The following is a 19,403-nucleotide window of genomic DNA, read 5'->3' as shown; positions in this document are numbered from 1 at the left end:
GACTTAAGATTAATACCTAAGCTTTTCTCTTTTTTTTTGAGTAATTGTGAATGGTATTTTTTTTATTTCAGTTTTCACATGTTCATTACTAGTATATATAGTGTTGATTTTTGTATATTGGTCTTGTTTTGTGCCCTCTTACTGGACTTACTACTTCTAGGAGCTGTTTTGGAGATTGCTTAGGGTTTTCTACCATATAGACAGTTGTGCCATTTGAAAATAAGGACAATTTTATTTTTTCCTATAAAATCTATATACCTTTTATTTCCTTTTCTTGACTTAGTCTGCTGACTAAAAGTTCCAGCACTATGTTTATGTTACAAAGGGTGTTTTAAGCTTTAAAAAATTGTTTCAGTGAAGCTTTATAAAAGCCTTAGGCGTTATCTAGGTAGCATTAAACAATAAATACAGATGCACTGAAAAATGAAGTTTTCTTTGTTCAAATACCATAAATTTATTCTTGCTTATTCTAAATACCTTTGAAGTATTTTCCTTGTTATTCTTTTTACAAGACTAGTCTAATACTGCTTTCTTTCATATAGGAAAAAATACTGATTTCTTTTCACCAGCTCAAATTTGTTTTTCTTTCTTGTACAAGTCATTTATTATTTTTTTATTCAGGGTTCTGAGCAAGGTTCAACCAGTCAAGAACAGGCCTTATCTGCTCAGCAAGCTGCTGTTATTAACCTTACTGGAGTAGGAAGTTTTATGCAGTCACAGGCAGCTGGTAGGTATCTTCATAACTTTATATGCTGAATTTACTAAACATATCTAATCTATTTGGGATCTCACCGCTTAAATTATTTTCTTTTCCTTCCCTTGCAACCAGTAAACAGGAAAAAGTAAAGCTATAATGTGTAAACTATTAAATTGATTGATGGCTGAGATTTTTTTTCATTGATAGTGGATTAAGAGCTTTGACTTAACATAATTACCACAGTTGTGTTTCCTTGTTACAGTTTACTGGCAAAATAATTATCCACTTTACTAGGTTACCAGAGCTGTTTTCAGTGTTTGCCAATAGTTATCTTAATTAATAACTTTTTTGTTTTCCTGGGTTAAGACTGAATTTTTCTAGATTGCATAATCTTTTGTCTCGTTCTGGTAACTTGTAGTTGCATAAATGACTTAAGTCTTAATGGTCAATAGCATAACTTCTGTAAGTCACTTTTATCATTTAAAAAAAAAGATTAAATTACTTCTCAACACTTCCAGCAGTAAATGGTGAACTAAAGATTACTCTTAATGATTATCCTGTCAGTTGAAGACGATAATTCTAACTTCCTGTCAGTTGAAGACGATAATTCTAACTTCCTGTCAGTTGAAGACGATAATTCTAACTTCACACTTAATTAAAAGAGTAAGCCATATGTATAAGAAAACTATGATAGGAGTTTGAGGATTGAATGAGTGACTGTGTTGTCAGCATCTTATCACTGTGGGCTTACTATGATGCCTTTAGAAGTCTTTTAGAATGATAATCTTTATTTTGGAAGTCAGTTATCCTTACATATAAAGTTCCAATTTAGAGGTAGTGAATTTCCAAATAGAAGTTTATATAATCATATACCTTTATCAGACCAATTGTGAATTTCCGAAAATAGCTGTAGTATAATTTAGTGGAAACAACTCTAGTCTGAAAAAAATCATGAGAATGTTCTTAGCCACAGACTGCCATACTTAACTTTGAGTCTGAGTCACTTAAATCATGTTGGCCTTCAAACTTCCCCATATGTAAAATGAGTGTTGAACTGATTACTGTGGTCCCATTCAGCTAAAAAAATAACAAACAATGCTTAGTCTCAGTTCACCACCTTTATTGTTAGTAGAGTAGTCTGATATTCATTGCAGCATCTTTTGTTTAAAGCAATTGTCTGTCTACCAGCTTTGTTGTTACAATAGTTTGGATTTCTTCCATCTCCCTTCTCCTACTTTGTTGGTTTTATTTCAAAAATAATATACTCTTCTAAACAAAATAGCATCAATATCAAATTTTATACAGATGCAAGAGAAGAGAGGTTCAGTGCTTTGATACATAATGCACTCCCTTCTCTTTTTGTGTCCAGAAAGTTCCATTATCAGTGGTACCCCCAACTAACAGGAGACCATATACTAAATTTATTCTGAAATGTCTATGATTTGATACTTAAGATTAATCATACTGCTAACTTTTCTATTATTTCATTTTCTATGTTGTCCTTTTCTAACCCTGGTAGCCTTCAAACTTTTTGACTGGCCTGCTTTCCCCTTCTCCTCTCTGTAGTGTTGTCTCAGCTTGGCTCTGCCGAGAACAGACCTGAGCAAAGCCTTCCTCAGCAGAGATTCCAGCTCTCCTCTGCCTTTCAACAGCAGCAGCAACAGATACAAGTAATCCAGCAACTTCACTCTGATTACATTTTTAAAGATACTCAGCTCCAAAAGTACCTCAAAATAACTTGCTTTAGTTTTATTTTACTGTCTTTTAAGACTGTACAGTAATTGGTAAATAATTTAGCAAATTTTAAAGTCTGACATTTTAGCCAGTCAACTTGGAGCACTGAATATATTTTGTATATTTAAGCCATACTCTATAAAATTTTTCATGAAGTGCTGGTGGCACATTAACATACATTTTTCTAGTATGCAGTATATTTTGAAAGACAGTTGTAAGTGCCAATTGTTAACTTTCTAATATTTTACTGCAGAAAAGTGTTCCTATTAGTAAATGTCATACCTGTTTATTTAGAAAAATGTTATACCATAATTTTAGGAAGGAAAGTCAGCATATTATAGTTGACTATCTTGATATTCAGGGTTGTTTTATATTGCTATAAACCATCATTATACAACAAAATGGTAACTGAAGTTGCTGAGTTACTACAATATAGACTGGCAGGGCAAAGTAACAAATAATTTTGAAGTTTGCCAAGAATCATTTTTAAAGCCCTTAGCAGGCTTCTGTGCCACTGGTGCTGTTTGACTGTGCATTGTCTCAATGTGGTATAGTCCCTTTTTGTTATCTTGGTGCTTTCTCCCTTTTTCAGTTGTGTTGTTTCGTCACTCAGGAAAAGCACCTTTCTACACCTGCCTGCATTTAACATAACTCGATTTTTTTCCCTCCCTTTTGCAGCAGTTGCGATTCTTGCAGCATCAAATGGCTATGGCAGCAGCAGCAGCACAAACAGCTCAGCTACATCATCATCGGCATACAGGCAGCCAGTCAAAAAGTAAAATGAAGAGAGGCACGCCAACCACTCCAAAATTTTGAGTCTTGCATTACTTTTTGTTCCTTTTTTAAAAACACAAGAGCACTGAATCAAAAGAATTGAGTTTCTACTTTTTGTTTTTTTTAATGTGTCAGTATTTTACATTGCTAGATGTACAAACTTTATACAGAAGCACAACCTTATCATTTTTAAATAAAAACAGGGAAATGGTTTAACAAACTAGGGTTGGTTTGCCTAAGTCATTGCTTTTTAAAAATGGTTTCACTATACATAATATATATGGAAGTGACCTAAGAAATAATAGAAACATCTTTCAGAAGAATGTAGTTTGATATTTATTTAGTATAAAACGTTTGTGCACAGTGTTAACAAATACAATTTTTACAAATCTGTTTTGAAAATGTGGTGGCTGTTTATTTGGGTTTCATACTCTTAATTACTTCATCCATCAGTTTTTTAACTTCTTTGTGTCTTGTAACTGCTCGGCTCATACAGTCCTGAAGTTTAGCTCCAGTTAGCCCACTTCCACCTGAAAAATTATTTTGCCAATACTTTTAATCTCAGTTATCATTCCTTTTCAAAAAACATTAATGTCATGTCAAATTATAAAACAAAAAAATTGGATAATGTAAATCAGGGTACAGTCTCAAGATCTACAAGTTAGTTTCACAAGACCTCCAAGTGATTCTAATGTATGTCTTAAGTTTAAGAACCACTGACATATACCATTAAGATGGAAGAACATTTTAGGTAGCTAAGAAACTATACTAAAATTAGGTAAATAAAATATCCCATATTCTATTTGGCCCTCCCTAATTTAAGGCTCACACTGAGTTTTCATCTACATATGTTTAGGACTGAAGTGGCGGGAACATGCCTGGTTTGTGAAGACAACAGAGTTTGCCTTCCTCATCCATTACTATTGTTAAGGTTCCTGTTGCCAGATGTTCCTCCTCTCCAGTAGGGTCAACTATAAGCAAAGTGCTATAAAAAGAAAAAAATATAAGTTATCAATCCATGGAACAAATTTTACTTTAAAATACTAAACATACTATCAGCCTCCCAAGTAGCTGGAATTAACAGGCACACGCCATCACACCCAGCTAATTTTTGTGTTTTTAGTAGAGACAGGGTTTCAACATGTTGGCCAGGCTGGTCTTGAATTCTTGACCTCAGGTGATCCCCTGCCTCAGCCTCCCAAAGTGCTGGGATTACAGGCATGAGCCACCATGCCCGGCCCTGCTCTTCTATTTCTGAACGTGCTAAAATCCTTGGAAAATATTGAAGATAGCTTCAGATAAATCTTATAGTGAAAGAATTGGAAATTAACATTACACAGGTATAAGTAAACCAAGGAACAGGTAATAATTGTGCAGTGACTAGAAATAATTGTGCAGGGACAAGTAGAAACTCAAGTGTCCAGGGAAAACTAGGATGTAGGGTCACCATAGCACTTCCTAAAGAGTTAGAATGCTGAACATCAATTACCCTAATCTTAAATATAGAAAATTTTAAAGTAAGTTTGATTAACTTACTCATCAAACACAGCAAAGGAAGTTGCAACTGGATGAGTTCTAATATTCAAATAACTTTTCTTCTTTAAATTAACTTCTGCTAAAGCAGTTTCTTCATTTATAGTAACTTCAGGCAACTGTACTAAGAAAAGGCAAATTTGTAAAGTAAGTAAGTCTCTAAGAAACAAATGATTTCTAAGCTTTTTTTTTTTTAATTCACCTTTCCCTCTATTTAACTTGCCCAGAACATTTCTTTTTAAAAAGCACCTTACAGCCACTAAGGTAAATATAGAGGATATACATTGCTTTTCACAACATCTGACATTCCTACCTAGTGCTTATTGCATAATTTTTTTTTAAGTTTAAGAAGTCAATGATTTTTTTTTAAATTTATATCTGCCAGGTACTGTTTTAAGCATTTTCATATTTTCATTGTATTCACCTAATCAATACTCTTACAAAGTAAGTACTATTATCCCTATTTTATTATAGATAAGGAAACTTCAGCACAGAGTGAGAGAGCCAGGAATCTACTTTAACCAGTCTATTATAATATTTTGCTGACTTCATTTTCTACCTCCAATTCACTTAACCACTCTACTATAATATTGCTGTGCTAACTTTATATTCCACCTCCAATTATTTGTTCCTACCAATTCATCATTCATCAATGATAGGGAATATGCACAAGTTATTGAAATCTGTAACTAATCAGTCAACCTAGACTCCTTGCTAAGAAACTTCCCTATTACTATGGCCTCACAGTAAAAACAACAGAATCCATTCTACTTCTTTTGGCAATATCACATAAAGAACTATGAGGATACTGGCAGATCTTCACCAATCACCTAGCCAGAAGTTACAACTCTTGTCTCCTTCTCCCACCAATATTAACACTATTTTGGAAAGGACTGAAGTCCTAACTTAAGTAGATGGGTACAGTCAAAGCAGCACTCTAAAGAGCATTCAGTTAGAGAATATACAACTATCAACTATATTTGGAAAGTCATGTCAGCATTACATTCATTAATTTGGAAGCATACGAAAGCAAATGTACATTAAAAGTTTCACAAAACAACATTCTAACCCATGAGTGGGAATATTGCCTTTTTTGTAAGGCTGCTTACCATTTTTTAAAGCCGCTAGCAAAGCAAATGTGCAGGCATCCAAAATGTTTCCATCGTAGTCGAGGCAAATGAGATCACAGTATAGAACCCAGACAAGCTAAAATAGAATTAAACACAAAAGGAAATTAAAGTCTTCTAATGGGTAGAACATGCTATTAGCTTAGACTTAAGAACCACAGAACCCTTGGTTAAACAAGCAAGATAACTTTCAAGGCTCAAAAACCTTAAGAAAATGCTTCACCTTTTTAAAGTTCTATAGAAAACCAGAAGAAAGTGGACAGGTTTTGTGAAAGCTGGCTTTTGATTGCCAGGCTGACAAATGACAAACATGTCCATTTCCCTTAATGGAGCTACAGATGTAGAAGGAATTTCCATTCTCATTGGGAGGTTACAGATAAGGGAGATGGTTTTGAAAGCCCTAGCTAAAATTCAAAATGCACGTTCTCATAATACATGAAATGTTTAAGTTTTACAGTGCTAATGTATCAGTTTATATGATCTAGTAGGAAAGCCTCTCTAGGTTCTAATCAACCTAGTTTTACATTTTCAAATAGACTTTGGAATCTACTGTGTGGATTCACCATAAACATATGTTAACATGATTAATGTTATAATCTGCTATAAGGAATAAAAAATGATTGAACTTTAAAAGTTAAGGGGGAAAAAAATTACTTCAGTTTAAAAGGTAGCTCCCAGACAGGCAGTAAGTTAGTCAAACTTGTTTTTTTATAAACAATATGGTTCATTTAGAGAATTATAGAGTAAGAAATTACTGAATCTCTAAAATCTGTAAGACATCCATATTTAAAGCTACTTTGATTGGTGGTTTTAATTTCCTTGTTCACTTTCCCCCACAAAAAAAAAATCCCTTCAGAATTAATAAGAACTTATAGCTTCTCTATTCCTCTTACCTTTCCTGGAGAAATGCATAAGTCCTCTTTCTGAATTATCTGTGAACTTGATTTAATGACAAAGAGCAAAGTAAATGAAAAGCCCAAAACTATCTGAAAATGAATTGTAATAAAATTTTATCATGGTGCTCTTACTTTTCAATGACATCTGCAATGAACTGGCTAGCCACTTGGGCCTCTTCTCCAGGAGGTCCAGACCGGAATCTCGATGAACACAGGGGTGGTAGATCCACATTAGGAACTGAAAGAAACACTCTGCAGCTATGAACTAAACCTTTTTTTTTTTTTTTTTTTTTTTGAGATGGAGTCTTGCTCTGTTGCCAGGCTGGAGTGCATTGGTGCGATCTCAGCTTACTGCAACCTCTACCTCCCAGGTTCAAGAGATTTCCTTGCCTCAGCCTCCCAAGTAGCTGAGATTACAGGCACACGCCACCACGCCCGGCTAATTTTTTGTATTTTAGTAGACAGGGTTTTACCATATTGGCCAAGATGGTCTCGATCGCCTGACCTCGTGATCCGCCCGCCTCAGCCTCGCAAAGTGCTGAGGTTACAGGTGTGAGCCACCATGCCCGGCCTAAACTTTTCAATTTATGGATTACTGAAGTGTTAAAGGTATTATCAATCCACAGTAAAGGCAACTGTGGCCATGGACAGGCTCTTCTGAGTAGAATACATTGTAACATTATAGTTATATTCTGTTTGGTCTCTCTAAGACTCCCAGCCATGAAATTTCTATTTTTCTGACATTTTTCCCCCATATGCCTTTTTAAAAAATCTATTTTAGACCTCAATTCTAAATCCTTTACGAGTTTTCCTGGTATCTTTCAAAATACCTCAATCTGTAACTGAAGTATATATAGCCCCTCTGCTAACATCCAACTGTTTTTCTCATTTAAAAAAAATGTTGGTTCCTACCATAAAGAACAGATGGTTCCAAGGCAAGAAAAAAATAGCAGTTGTATAAAGCAAAGAATCTTTATGGAAACAAAAGGTGTGCAATGACAGTTCTTTGACTTAAAAAAATTCCATTCTATTTTTTTTTTCTTTTGAAACAGGGTTTCACTCTGTCACTCAGGCTTGAATGCAGTGACACAATTATAGTTCATTGTAGCCTCAACCTCCCAGGCTCAAGCAATCCTCCTGCTTCAGCCTCCCAAGTAGCTGGGACACAGGTGTGCACTGGCACACCCAGCTAACTTGATTTTTTTTGTAGATACGGGGTCTCCTTTGTTTCCCAGGCTGGTCTTGAACTGCTGGGCTGAAGCGATCCTGCTGTCTTGGCCTCCCAAAATCCTGGTATTATAGGTGTGAGTCACCACACCCAGCCAAAATTCTATTTTCTTGGTTAGTAACTTATGAATGTATAAACAAAAATTGAGCAAACAAGTTTGATAAAGGTTAAATTTATGAAATTCTATATCCTGCTATTATGCTATCTTTTACTAACACACGGAAAACTTTTGAGGAATTTGTTTTATTCATAAATATTTCCGAATATTAGGAATAATTTTCTTTACATCAACTTAACTAGGACTTAACTAAAAATTATTAAATGTGTTAAAAGTATTTGTATTAAAATTACAAAACCATTTAACTTACCAACGTATCCTTTATCAGGGGCATCTGTTGATGGTGCTGCAAATTCCTATAGTAGCAAAGAAATGTTTCCTATTGAAAGAAGCTACTGAAAAATTATGAAGACAATTTAGCAATCAGTTATGGAAGGCTCTATCAAATATCAGCTTAGGGAATTGTGTCAGGGCCTCTACGGACATTGGTGCTGATCCTCACAATAGCTCTACAAGATAAGAAGGCACTACAGTACAGTGGACTACACTACAGTGCTGCTCGGCAAGATTACCTGGAGATCTTTTAAAAAATAGTAACTGGGTTTGTGCCCCCAACTACTAGCCAAGAATCTTAATTTGTTCTCCAGATGATAGAGCAAGATTTAGGAACTGCTGCTTTAGTGGTAAAGAGCAAAAGCTCAGCTGGGCGCGGTGGCTCACACCGGTAATCCCAGCACTTTGGGACACAGAGGCGGGCGGATCACCTGAGGTCAGGAGTTTGAGACCAGCCTGGCCAAGATGGCAAAACCCCGTCTCTACTAAAAATACAAAAATTAGCCAGGCATGGTGGCGGGCGCCTGTAATCCCAGCTACTTGGGAGGCTGAGGCAGGAGAATCACTTCAACCCAGGAGACGGAACTTGCAGTGAGCTGACATCGTGCCACTGCACTCCAGCCTGGGCGACAGAGCAAGACTCCGTCTCAAAAAAAAAAAAAAAAGCAAATGCTCTGCAATTACTAAGCCAGTTCAAATGTCAGAGCCATACTTACTGGCTGAGAGACTTCAGGCAAGTTATTTAACCTCTTACCTTAAACTCCTCATCTTGTCAAATGGGAAGAAAATAGTGTCTACTCCTAGGGACTGTTAATAAGGGCCAAATGAGATAGACCTGTTAAATCCCAGGCATAAAACCTGACAAGGAGCAAGTTCTCAAATCTTACTGTTATACATCACTCCAGGTTTACGAAAGAAGAATCTCAACTGAGGTTAAATAACACAGGGTATACTGTAGTCAAAGAAGCACAGGCTTTGGAGTCAGATTTATGTCTAAGTTTTACTTATGAGTCTTATGTACCTGGACAGGTTACTGAAAGTCATCTGTAAAACAGGAGGTGAAGACAAGTAACAAATGATTGTTATAGGCATTAAAGTGGATAATTCTGTAAAGCACCTAAAAAGGTGTCTGGAACATAGCAAGTACTCAGTAAATGGTAGCCAGTATTCCCTCAAATTTTTCTTTTCAACAATTTCAATTTTCTACACATTTACACAGATTACATGTCATCACTGGCTAAAAGGATGTCACCAAAAATCTGTTAATGTCTCAAATGATATAACAATTTTTTTAAAATGGTGACTCAGATTTTAAAAGTTGTTTCATTTTGCTACATTTGACAATTGTTCACTTAGTCATTAAACTTGGGTCATATTATCTAACACTCATAGTGAAAGCTCTTGGGAAATTAAACATTAAAAATTGACACCCAACTACCAAATCAAGAGTAGAATTACAGGTGTATATTACAATCTAATAAATAAAGCTAACTTTGTAACTCAAATCTCAATAGGACATATTTAGACTTACTGCTTTAACTCCACAGATTACTGTAGTATTTCCCAACTTCACTAAAGCAGAACCATCTGCGGTACTAATTGAACCTGAAAAGATAAGCAAAATGAAAGGTTCATAAAAGGAAAACAGCTACAAAATTATCCACATAATAATTAAAATTAAGTGTTTTAGTTTGCTGTGTACGATTATCTTGCTACCCCTCTCAGTTGCTTATGAATATTTCAAGTTAGAATAATTGATTTTTACATAACTATTTTAAATTAGTGTTTAAATAATTATTCACCTGTCCTTGAATTTGTGTTAATCATTTTTCATTTAGTTACAGGGCTTTTGTACGGATAAAAATCTCTTGACAAAAAAAATCATCAAATCCTTTAGACAAAGAATTTGGGTGAAAAACTGTTTGGCTGGTTCATAGACTAAAACTTGGGAATATCATACAGTTGAAAGTGGAAAATACATCCTTACCGATGTTGACAGTTGTGGTTCTGAATTCACCAAGTTCTCTTCCATCAGGACGGCAGTTCTCTTTCTAAATAAATATGTTTATATAAAAATAGATTATACCTATTACATATTTTACACATCTATCACAAGTTTTACACACACATTAAATGTTACTTCAAATGGATTAATTTAAATTACTTGAAATTCATCTTTAAAAGCAGCTCGTTATCAAAACGCATAACATGTACATAACCTTTACTCACCAGAAATCTCCTGTAATACTCCAGAGGTTCCACGGTTCTGAAACACGTGTTAAAAATATATCTGAGATAAACTGATGAATCTTAACATAAATCCAGAAATTGGCAAAGATCTTAAGTGTGGTGATGCAGCATAAATCTCCACAACTTTTTAACTAAAAGTAATTCTAGAAAGTAAAAATCCTTGTAGTAGCAATCACATTCAATTGCTGTCCTTAACTCTGCCATAAACGATTAGAAGATTGGCGTCTAAAAGCCCTTTGAGTGAGCTCTTTAAAAGCTCAATCTGTGTCAAAAGAATCATGTCGTTCTTGCTCTGAAACAAGGATTCAGAGTGATCTAGTGATCATGAAAAAAGATTATTTTAATAATCTAGTGATCATGAATAGTTAACCTCTTACTAGATAACTCAGGAAACAAAAAGGTACATCTTTATTTTCACTGTAAGTGAAATTTAGCATATTCTTCAATTATGACTGTAAGCAATAAGCCATAGTAACATTAGCAGTACCTGCAACTTTAACAACCACGGAGACCACAGATGTTTTCGTTTGCACCCTTTAGCTGTGTAAGGTATGTTCAGGCTCACCGTTACTTTGAAATCCCAGGAGTTACTACTAGTCTCGCCACTAGATCTTGTTTACGAAGGTTAATTTTAAACCAAGTATATATACTACTATATCGTGTCTTCGGAGTTTATACTCATAGATAACTATTTCAACATAATGGATTTCCTTTGGAATCCTATTTATTTTATCCATTTTTTAAAAACTTTAAGAAAGTCCACTGGCTTCACACACACAAAAACCTTCCAAACGAGGCATGATCCTTTTAGAAATAAATTACGGGAGAGGGAGAAGCAGGCGGTATGTGGTTCTGATGCAACAATCTTGATTGATTGATTCTGACAGAGTCTCACTCTGTCGCCCAGGCTGGAGTGCAGTGGCGCGATCTCGGCTCACTACAACCTCTGCCTCCCGGGTTCAAGCGATTCTCCTGCCTCAGCCTCCTGAGTAGCTGGGACTACAGGCGCCCGCCACCACGCCCGGCTAATTTTTATATTTTTATTAGAGACAGTGTTTCACCATGTACACCAGGCTGGTCTCGAACTCCTGACGTCAGGTGATCCGCCCGCCTCGTCCTCCAAAGTGCTGGGATTACAGGCGTGAACCGCCGCGCCCGGCCACAATCTTTAAAAGATTACAACTATGTCTCCTGGGACTGCACGTTCACTACACACCACGCTCACGAGCGCTCGCAGCGGGTATGGAACTCTACAGAGTCCTTTCATCTCCCGTCTCACTGAGGAAGAAGCCCTTTCTTTTCACTGTGACAACCTCCAGGTCCTCCCGCCCATCGTCTGCCTCGACGAGGAAGGAAATGGCACCCCAACGGGGTCGGCCTCCAGGTGAGAGAATCCCAGCTAAGAGTTAAAGGAAGCTGCCGTCCGCCAGGGTACAGAACTCTACCCGCCACCCGCCAACACTCACTTGAACCCAGCCGCCATCTTCCCGCCCGCGCGTCTGCGCCTGCGCCGCTCCTCTCCTGCGCGCCTGTTCCGCCGCCGCACTTTCGACACGGATGCCGGGGCCGCTCACGCCACGGGAAATGCCAAGGTGGGGACGCGACGAAAGGTCCCTGGCCCGCCCTCGCATCGACTTTCCCCTGCCCAGACGCCTTTCTAGGTTTCCTTGCCTTGGACGTATTTTGACGAATCTGCTGTTAAAGAAGGAGCGGGTCTCCCTCTTTATAAAAGAGCTGGTGCTGTGACTCAGAATAACACCAACAGTTCGGAGATAACAGGGTTTCTAGCGCAGAATCAAGCAGTGCGTGTGGAGCGTTATTCCAATGTTTCTGCGTCTTTTTTCTGCCTGTGACTTAGGCTCAGCCCTGGCCTTGCCTCTTCACTGGTCAAGGGCTCCGTGCTCCAACACATGAGAAACCTGAACTTTTTTTTTTTTTTTTTTTGAGACAGAGTCTCGCTCTGTCGTCCAGGCTGGAGTGCAGTGGCGCGATCTCGGCTCACTGCAAGCTCCGCCTCCCGGGTTCACGCCATTCTCCTGCCTCAGCCTCCCGAGTAGCTGGAACTACAGACGCCCGCCACCGCGCCCCGCTAATTTTTTGTATTTTTAGTACAGACGGGGTTTCACCGTGTTAGCCAGGATGGTCTCGATCTCCTGACCTTGTGATCCGCCCGCCTCGTCCTCCCAAAGTGCTGGGATTACAGGCGTGAGCCACGGCGCTCGGCCGAGAAACCTGAACTTTCTGTGCGCTCATTGTCCGCACCACGTTCTGCTCTGCAGGTCCCGGAGCTGAGGGCTCCTAAGCATCACCTTGTGTTGTAGACTGTGTCGTGCTCAAGGCTGCCATCTCCCTCCTAGGTGGGGTTACCAGATAAAATACAGGATACCACGTTAAATTTGAATGTCTGATAAACACAGCGTGGTTTTTTTGTTTTTTGTTTTTGTTTTTTTGTGGGTTTTTTTTTTTTTAAAGCATGAGTATGCCCCAAATAGAGCATGCAATTAGTTGTTGCCAGAACCTGGAGGGAGCTGGGAAGGCTTTACAGATAGATAGTGGTGATGGTTGCACAGTATGTATGTAATTAATGCCACTCACTATTGTAAACTTAAAATGATTAAAATGGCAACTTTTTATTTTACCACAGTTTATAAAAACTAATGTAATAAACCAGAAACCTGTAACTGGATGAGTCGTATGGTATGTGGCTATCTTAATAAGGCTGTTAAAAACATGATTAGTTTTTTAATCTGAAATTCAAATTAAGTAGACGTCTTGCATACTTGATAAACCTGGCGCCCCGCTGTGGAACCTAGCGCTCCTCTCCACCGACTGGGCGCCGAGGGCACGAGAGCGGCGTTTTCTCCGCCTCGCCACGCGGGGGCGCTGCGGCCAGCGGGCGCGACCTCTCTGGCGGCGGGGCCGGGTCGCGCGGGCGCGCTTCCGCCTGTGTGGAGGTGCGGGATTGGGCGGGCTGCCACGGCATGGAGAATGGCTCCGCTTCTGTTGCAGCTGGCGGTGCTCGGCGCGGCGCTGGCGGCCGCAGCCCTCGTACTGGTGAGAACAGGGATGGGAACCCGCGCAGGCCGGGGCTTACCGCTCTCCTGGAGACTGCGGCTCCTCAGGCGTCCCCTCCTCCGCGCTACCAGTTCTCGGAGAAGTCCCTTTTCCCCTAGATTCCCCCAAATTCCTGACCTCGGAGTTTCCTGGAGTTTCACTCTCCTTTTCTTCGGTTCTTTAATTTTCCCTTGGAATCTTATCTCTTTGTGTGCTCAGAGACTTGTAAGTTTTTTCACACTGGAGCGCACCCACCCGGCCTGGCATCATCGCCGCTTCCATCGCCCCTGGCGCCCGCGCCCCCTACCCACCTCCTCTGTCAACCTCGACCTCTCCCAGACTCTCCGGGACCTGCAGCCGCTGCAGTTCTGCTCCACCCAGGGAGGTCTCGAGCCCCCAGAAGGGGTGTGCTCCCTAGCCTGCTCCCTTGGCTGATGTGGTTAAGCAAATAGGGGTGACGGAGCCTTGACGGCAGCCATCTGTTACAAATGGGAATAAATGCGTGGATCGATGAGACCCACTAGGGACGCAGGGTGAGCGAGAGAGACAGGCCTCAGGCGCCTTGTCCGGGGTCGCATTGTGTCCCAGAATTAAGCACCCTAAATATACTGCCCCTAAACAAGGCAGGACGATAGAATGCAAACTCGATTGTCTTTGCCCTTGCTCTCGAAACACAAAAACATTGTAAACACTTGCTGATTGTTAAGTGGTAGAAAATTGGCGAACTCTCTCCCGCACACCTTGGAATGAGCCTGCCCTCTAGTTAGTAAGTGGAGAGGATTTCAGCTTCCTTGACATTCAGATTAGCCACCTAGACAGCACTGCCAGGAAGGCCACTCTGCCATCTTTCCAGAGGTTGTATAAATTTACAGTTTAGATAAAATGTAATGCATCCTTACTTCTTTGTTGATAGTATCTGGGTGAGAGAGGAGTCCTCTCTTGCCCTAACTAGTAGAGATTTCAGGGTTTAGGGCTTTTTTGTTTTTTCAAGTTTTTGAGCAAACCAGGATTGATTGATTGATTGATTGATTTTTGGCGGGGTGCGGGCGGGGAGTGGATTCACACATTCTTAGATTGAAGCTGCCTTACTTTGGGTCTTTTGCACAGATTTTATGGGATTGTACTGACGGTATTTGTTCCCACTAGCTTGAAGTGATAAGAGCTACCATTTATTGATTGTAGTACTTACTATATGTTGTGTTGCACTTGGTTTAATAGGAGTTATTAAATCTTTAACACTGTGACATATATGTTATCATTAGCATTATTTTACTGGTGAGGAAACATGTTGGAGAAATGAGCTCGTGTACTCAAATGTTGCACAACTAGTGAAACTTAGGTTTTTTAAATGCCAGAGCAAGAAATCATTAAAAAAATAATTTTTCAAAACCTCATCCTGTCTTCATATGTATCCACTCTCCATTACTCACAGTCTCACCTCCTTTCTGAATTATTTTAAAACAACTCGAAGACATTTTATCTTTAAATCCTCAGCATTTATTTCTAACAGATAAGGTCCTTCTTTTTAAAATACCACAATAAAGTGGTCACAGATTTAAATTTATTCTGTGATTTCAAATGCCCCCTCAGTTCACTTGCCCTCACTTGTCTCATATATGTCTCAGTATATATGTCTGTTTGTTCCAATCAGGATCCAAACAAGTGCCACACATTGTACTCTGTTGATGTCTTGAGTCTCTTAATCAGTTGACAGTTTCTCCTCCCCCTTTTTTTCTTTTCCTTGTCTTTTTTTTTTTTTTTTTTTTTTGAGACGGAGTCTGGCTCTTGTCACCCAGGCTGGAGTGCAGTGGTGTGATCTTGGCTCACTGCAACCTCTGCCCTCAAGCAATTCTCCTGCCTCAGCCTCCTGAGTAGCTGGGATTACAGGCGCCTACCACCACTCCCGGTTAATTTTTGTACTTTTAATAGAGATGGGGTTTCGCCATGTTGGCCAGGCTGGTCTCGAACTCCTGAACTCAGGTGATCCACCCTCCTCGGCCTCCCAAACTTCTGGGATTACAGACATGAGCCACCGCGCCCGGCCTTTTTCCTTGTCTTTAATATGATCATTTGTCCTGTAGAACTTCTCACAATTTGGATTTCTTTGATTGCATCCCCTTAATGCCTTTTAACATCTTCTATCTCAAATTTTCTATAAACTGGTAGTTAGGATGGAGAGACCTGATCACATACATACTCGATGTGTTTTTTAATCAAGAAAAAATTGTGAGTGATGCTTCTTCCTTTCTCTTGTGTCTCATCAGGAGTCATGTAATGGCCATTTGTCTCTGGTGTTAAGATGGATCTGTGGTTTCAAATGTTGCCAGCCAGACCCACCAGTTTATAAAGTTTGTCATCAGCCTAATGGTTTTAGTAGTCATTGAGGATCATTACCTAAATGCTTTATTTCATTGCGGGTTGCAAAGTGAAATATTCTCATTGTATCCTTCATTTATTACCTAGAGTTTTGTAATGAAAGAAATCTCATCCTCAGCTATTCATTTACCCTAAAATACCTTTCATACATATAAAACGCAAAAGGCAAATTTTTGAAATGAGATCCTTCCTGCATCTTACCCAGTTTTTGTCTTTAGTATCATTGCAAATTTATGATTTACAGTATTTTTCATGGTTTGATCCATTGCAGTAATTTTTTTTGGCAGGGGGGAAGTGGGAGGACGATCAGATTCTTGCATCATAGGCCACTGAGAGCCCATTCAGGTTGACTACTTTGTCCTTTCAGCACAGCCCTTATAATCTTTGATAATCTTTGATTATAATCTTATAATCTCTGAAGTGATAGTAGTTGATGATGGCAGTAAAGATCAGACCTCAAAGATCAAACCTCAGGAGCTGATGACAATGACAATTTGATAATGTCTTCAAATTGATCATTAAATTACAAATGAATAGCATTCCAAAAATTTAAAGACTGTTTTGAAAGCAGAAAGTGTACCAATAGAAACAATGTAAAAACAATGGTTATTTCCAAAGCTTAGCTCCCAAGTGCATATGGAAGGGAGCCTGTAAGTTAGATACTTCAGTAAATGCTGTATTCTGAATTCAAATTCGAGTTAAGTGTCAAAAACATATTCTTAAACATTGTTGGTCCCTACTTGGTAGTCTGGGGAATCTTCCTTTTATATCTTGGGTCTGTCTGGTCCTGGATGGAAAGTGTGCCCTCACCCCGCATGTTCCAACTGCAAAATGGACTTGTCCTGTCACATATAGATTCCAAGTAGCGATAGGACCTTACTATATGTGTGTGTGTCTCTATGCATGTAGACACGCTAAGGATCAGGGTTTTAGGGCACCTGAGAGTAGACTGGTCTTCCTGTAGTGACTGACCTTTATTGTAGCTGGGATGGTGGAGGCCTGGCGAATGATGACTGGGAAGAGACAGAGCCTCCTAAGGCATCAGCACCTTACTGATGGAAAAAAGGACAGTAATTCGTTCATAAGTAGGGGACTCACTATTGTCTAATTTTGGAGTCACCTCTAGACCATTGTTAATGAACTAAAACCTGAGAGTGAGTATTCAACTAAAAGAAAAGTAGATGATGTATTCTAACATAAATACAGAAAAGTCAGCAAAACATAATTTCTGTTTTGTAAAAGACATGTATGTCTGCTTTTAGATTTCCATCGTTGCATTTACAACTGCTACAAAAATGCCAGCACTCCATCGACATGAAGAAGAGAAATTCTTCTTAAATGCCAAAGGCCAGAAAGAAACTTTACCCAGCATATGGGACTCACCTACCAAACAACTTTCTGTCGTTGTGCCTTCATACAATGAAGAAAAACGGTGTAAGCCCTGTTTTGATTTTTTTGGTAAAGGGTAGTTTGGAAAAGAAAAGGAAATTTAAAGTATTTGACTTCACTGTCTTTGCCAAAACATTAATAGATGTGGGCTGTGTTGAGCACACAGTTGATAATTGTTGTAGTTCGGCAGAGAGGGAAGTGAATATTTGCTCTCATGAATAGGAGCAGCATCATGAGGCAGCGGGACTGGAATGTTCTAGAGAGGTAATAAGCACATTGTGGACAGAAGGCAGGATTTCAGATGGGAATGACCATTGGGAAAGTACCAGAGGGGCTTGTTAGATTATTGGGACTTTTTTCTGTATGTAAGCTGAATGTGCCGGGCTTGGAAAATCATTTTCAAAAGTGATTTTTAATATATTTTTTTCTTCAAGTGCCTGTGATGATGGATGAAGCTCTGAGCTATCTAGAGAAGAGACAGGTATCATGTTTTCTCTTTTAATATGATATCTCCAATTAAAACTAGACCAGGTCACCAATTGTGGACCCCAAGCCAGATGCACTGTGAGAGGCAGTCCTGGCAGCACCCCGATCGCTGGGCCACCTGCTGCTTGCTTGTTGCTATCCATAAGCCCGGCACGTAGCATGCTACCTCCAGAGGCAGGTCGTTGACCCAGGACAAACCAGGAAGCGAAAATTTCTGTTTCTGTACCCTCCTACCCATTTTAATCCTGTCTTGCTTGATGATATATTTAAAATTGAGTGACAGTGTATGTCTGCAGACTTTGTATGATGCCACAATGCTGTTTTTACTTTTGTGACTTGTAAGAAAAGGTGTATTGTTGCTGTTTTTGCTGTTAACTTTTATTCTCTTCTCTCTTTTTTTATTTTTTGGTTAACTGGGTTTGAATAAACAGAAAAACTAAGTCTGAATGAACAGAAAAAAGATATTTTTAAAAGACACACTTACATTGAAATTATTTTGTATTTCTTCAATATTCTCAAGAGTCTCCCCTCACATTTTCTTCCTGTTTTCCCTACATAAGGAGAAGAGAAGTAATACACAACCTTCTTTTGTAACATTAGCTGCCATTGGAATCCCCTTGGAGGGATTAAGAATTAAGTGAGTTCTTTTTAAAAAAAAATTGTTTTGATTTACTTTGCTTTTAGATTTTTTGTATAAAGGGGAAATAGAAGATTCACTGAAAGAGAAAGGGCTGTATTACCTTATTACCAACTTCAAACATTCAATTTAGAGAAAAGAAGAAAGGAATTGAGCCTTTAATATGTATGAGGCTTCTACCTCTTCAATTACGTGTAATCTTCACACCAGCCACATAGAGTAGGTTTTTCTGTTCTCTTTTTTTAATCAGAAAATAGGCCCAAAAAGTTAAGTTGCCCAAGGTCATTAGGCTAAGAAATGCTGCAGCCAAGCTGGAATCTGCCCTCTCTGACTTCAAACCTCAGGAGCTTTTTTCTTACACACCTGTACCCTCTCAAATGTGCTATAGCACCACAAGTACCTGGCTTCTTCCACCACCAAGGTACAGGGCAGACTGGGGAACAGCAAGGTGACATGGAGAGATTGAGTCAATATTCACTCTCCACCTCTACCCAGGATCTCTCTCTCTCTTTTTACTTAGCCTTTTTATTTTATGCGGTTTGTGCACTAATATTTATATTCAAATTTATATGTATCAACACTAAAGCAGTTGTTTTTTAAATTACTGGTGATTTGATTAGAATACTTTATGGCAGTTATGCCAAATTGTATTACTTTATTTTTGTTTCTTGCAGAAACGAGATCCTGCGTTCACTTATGAAGTGATAGTAGTTGATGATGGCAGTAAAGATCAGACCTCAAAGGTAAATACACTTGCTTTTAGAATTGACAATAGTTAGAAAATAGAGAATAATTTTGCACATGTGAAATCTCACTTTCATTCACCAGGGG

The 19,403-nt window shown here is 38.8% G+C and overlaps 3 protein-coding genes across 51 annotated transcripts in view, besides 5 other annotated features; 2 read left to right on the top strand and 1 right to left on the bottom strand.

Annotated features, from left to right (window-relative positions):
- SUPT20H (SPT20 homolog, SAGA complex component) overlaps positions 1–3,607 on the top strand; it is a 50,377-nt gene extending 46,770 nt beyond the window's left edge. For 25 of the 46 annotated variants that reach the window (XM_024449379.2, XM_017020655.2, XM_047430447.1 and 22 more), the window contains 3 exons: positions 622–727; positions 2,264–2,367; positions 3,110–3,607. In XM_024449379.2, the coding sequence (XP_024305147.1) occupies positions 622–727; positions 2,264–2,367; positions 3,110–3,247 (348 nt within the window). In that variant the 3' untranslated portion in view covers positions 3,248–3,607. The remainder of the gene's footprint in view (positions 1–621; positions 728–2,263; positions 2,368–3,109) is intronic. The other 21 variants (XM_017020661.2, XM_017020659.2, XM_047430454.1 and 18 more) reach the window with 1 other exon arrangement.
- On the bottom strand, positions 3,305–12,133 carry EXOSC8 (exosome component 8). The gene is made up of 11 exons (NM_181503.3): positions 12,097–12,133; positions 10,610–10,646; positions 10,368–10,431; positions 9,912–9,985; positions 8,358–8,403; positions 6,894–6,999; positions 6,759–6,804; positions 5,848–5,944; positions 4,742–4,862; positions 4,084–4,190; positions 3,305–3,735 (listed from the first exon to the last, which is right to left on the bottom strand). Exons 1-11 carry the CDS (start codon positions 12,111–12,113, stop codon positions 3,620–3,622), a joined length of 831 nt encoding a protein of 276 aa, NP_852480.1. The 5' UTR covers positions 12,114–12,133; the 3' UTR covers positions 3,305–3,619.
- Positions 11,564–11,623: an enhancer, noted in NCBI's record as "active region_7594". NCBI's record gives its function as "activates an Ori minimal core promoter by ATAC-STARR-seq in GM12878 lymphoblastoid cells {active_cell/tissue: GM12878}" and the evidence as "EXISTENCE:reporter gene assay evidence [ECO:0000049][PMID:35858748]".
- Positions 11,844–12,103: an enhancer, noted in NCBI's record as "active region_7593". NCBI's record gives its function as "activates an Ori minimal core promoter by ATAC-STARR-seq in GM12878 lymphoblastoid cells {active_cell/tissue: GM12878}" and the evidence as "EXISTENCE:reporter gene assay evidence [ECO:0000049][PMID:35858748]".
- Positions 12,304–12,393: an enhancer, noted in NCBI's record as "active region_7592". NCBI's record gives its function as "activates an Ori minimal core promoter by ATAC-STARR-seq in GM12878 lymphoblastoid cells {active_cell/tissue: GM12878}" and the evidence as "EXISTENCE:reporter gene assay evidence [ECO:0000049][PMID:35858748]".
- Positions 12,854–12,903: an enhancer, noted in NCBI's record as "active region_7591". NCBI's record gives its function as "activates an Ori minimal core promoter by ATAC-STARR-seq in GM12878 lymphoblastoid cells {active_cell/tissue: GM12878}" and the evidence as "EXISTENCE:reporter gene assay evidence [ECO:0000049][PMID:35858748]".
- Positions 13,364–13,663: a silencer, noted in NCBI's record as "silent region_5270". NCBI's record gives its function as "represses an Ori minimal core promoter by ATAC-STARR-seq in GM12878 lymphoblastoid cells {active_cell/tissue: GM12878}" and the evidence as "EXISTENCE:reporter gene assay evidence [ECO:0000049][PMID:35858748]".
- Positions 13,552–19,403, top strand: part of ALG5 (ALG5 dolichyl-phosphate beta-glucosyltransferase) — a 49,630-nt gene continuing 43,778 nt past the window's right edge. For 2 of the 4 annotated variants that reach the window (XR_007063678.1, NM_013338.5), the window contains exons 1-4: positions 13,579–13,684; positions 17,323–17,494; positions 17,884–17,930; positions 19,247–19,315. Coding sequence is in view for 3 of the 4 variants with exons in the window: in NM_013338.5 (NP_037470.1) it covers positions 13,619–13,684; positions 17,323–17,494; positions 17,884–17,930; positions 19,247–19,315 (354 nt within the window). In the remaining variant the exon portion in view is untranslated. Of the gene's footprint in view, positions 13,685–17,321; positions 17,495–17,883; positions 17,931–19,246; positions 19,316–19,403 lie in introns of those variants that run through there. The other 2 variants (NM_001142364.1, XM_047430283.1) reach the window with 2 other exon arrangements.

This window comes from Homo sapiens, chromosome 13 (genome assembly GCF_000001405.40).
Source record: "Homo sapiens chromosome 13, GRCh38.p14 Primary Assembly".
Lineage (NCBI taxonomy): Eukaryota > Metazoa > Chordata > Mammalia > Primates > Hominidae > Homo > Homo sapiens.
The sequence above is the reverse complement of the archived record's forward strand: the minus strand, read 5'-3'. Positions and strand labels throughout refer to the sequence as shown.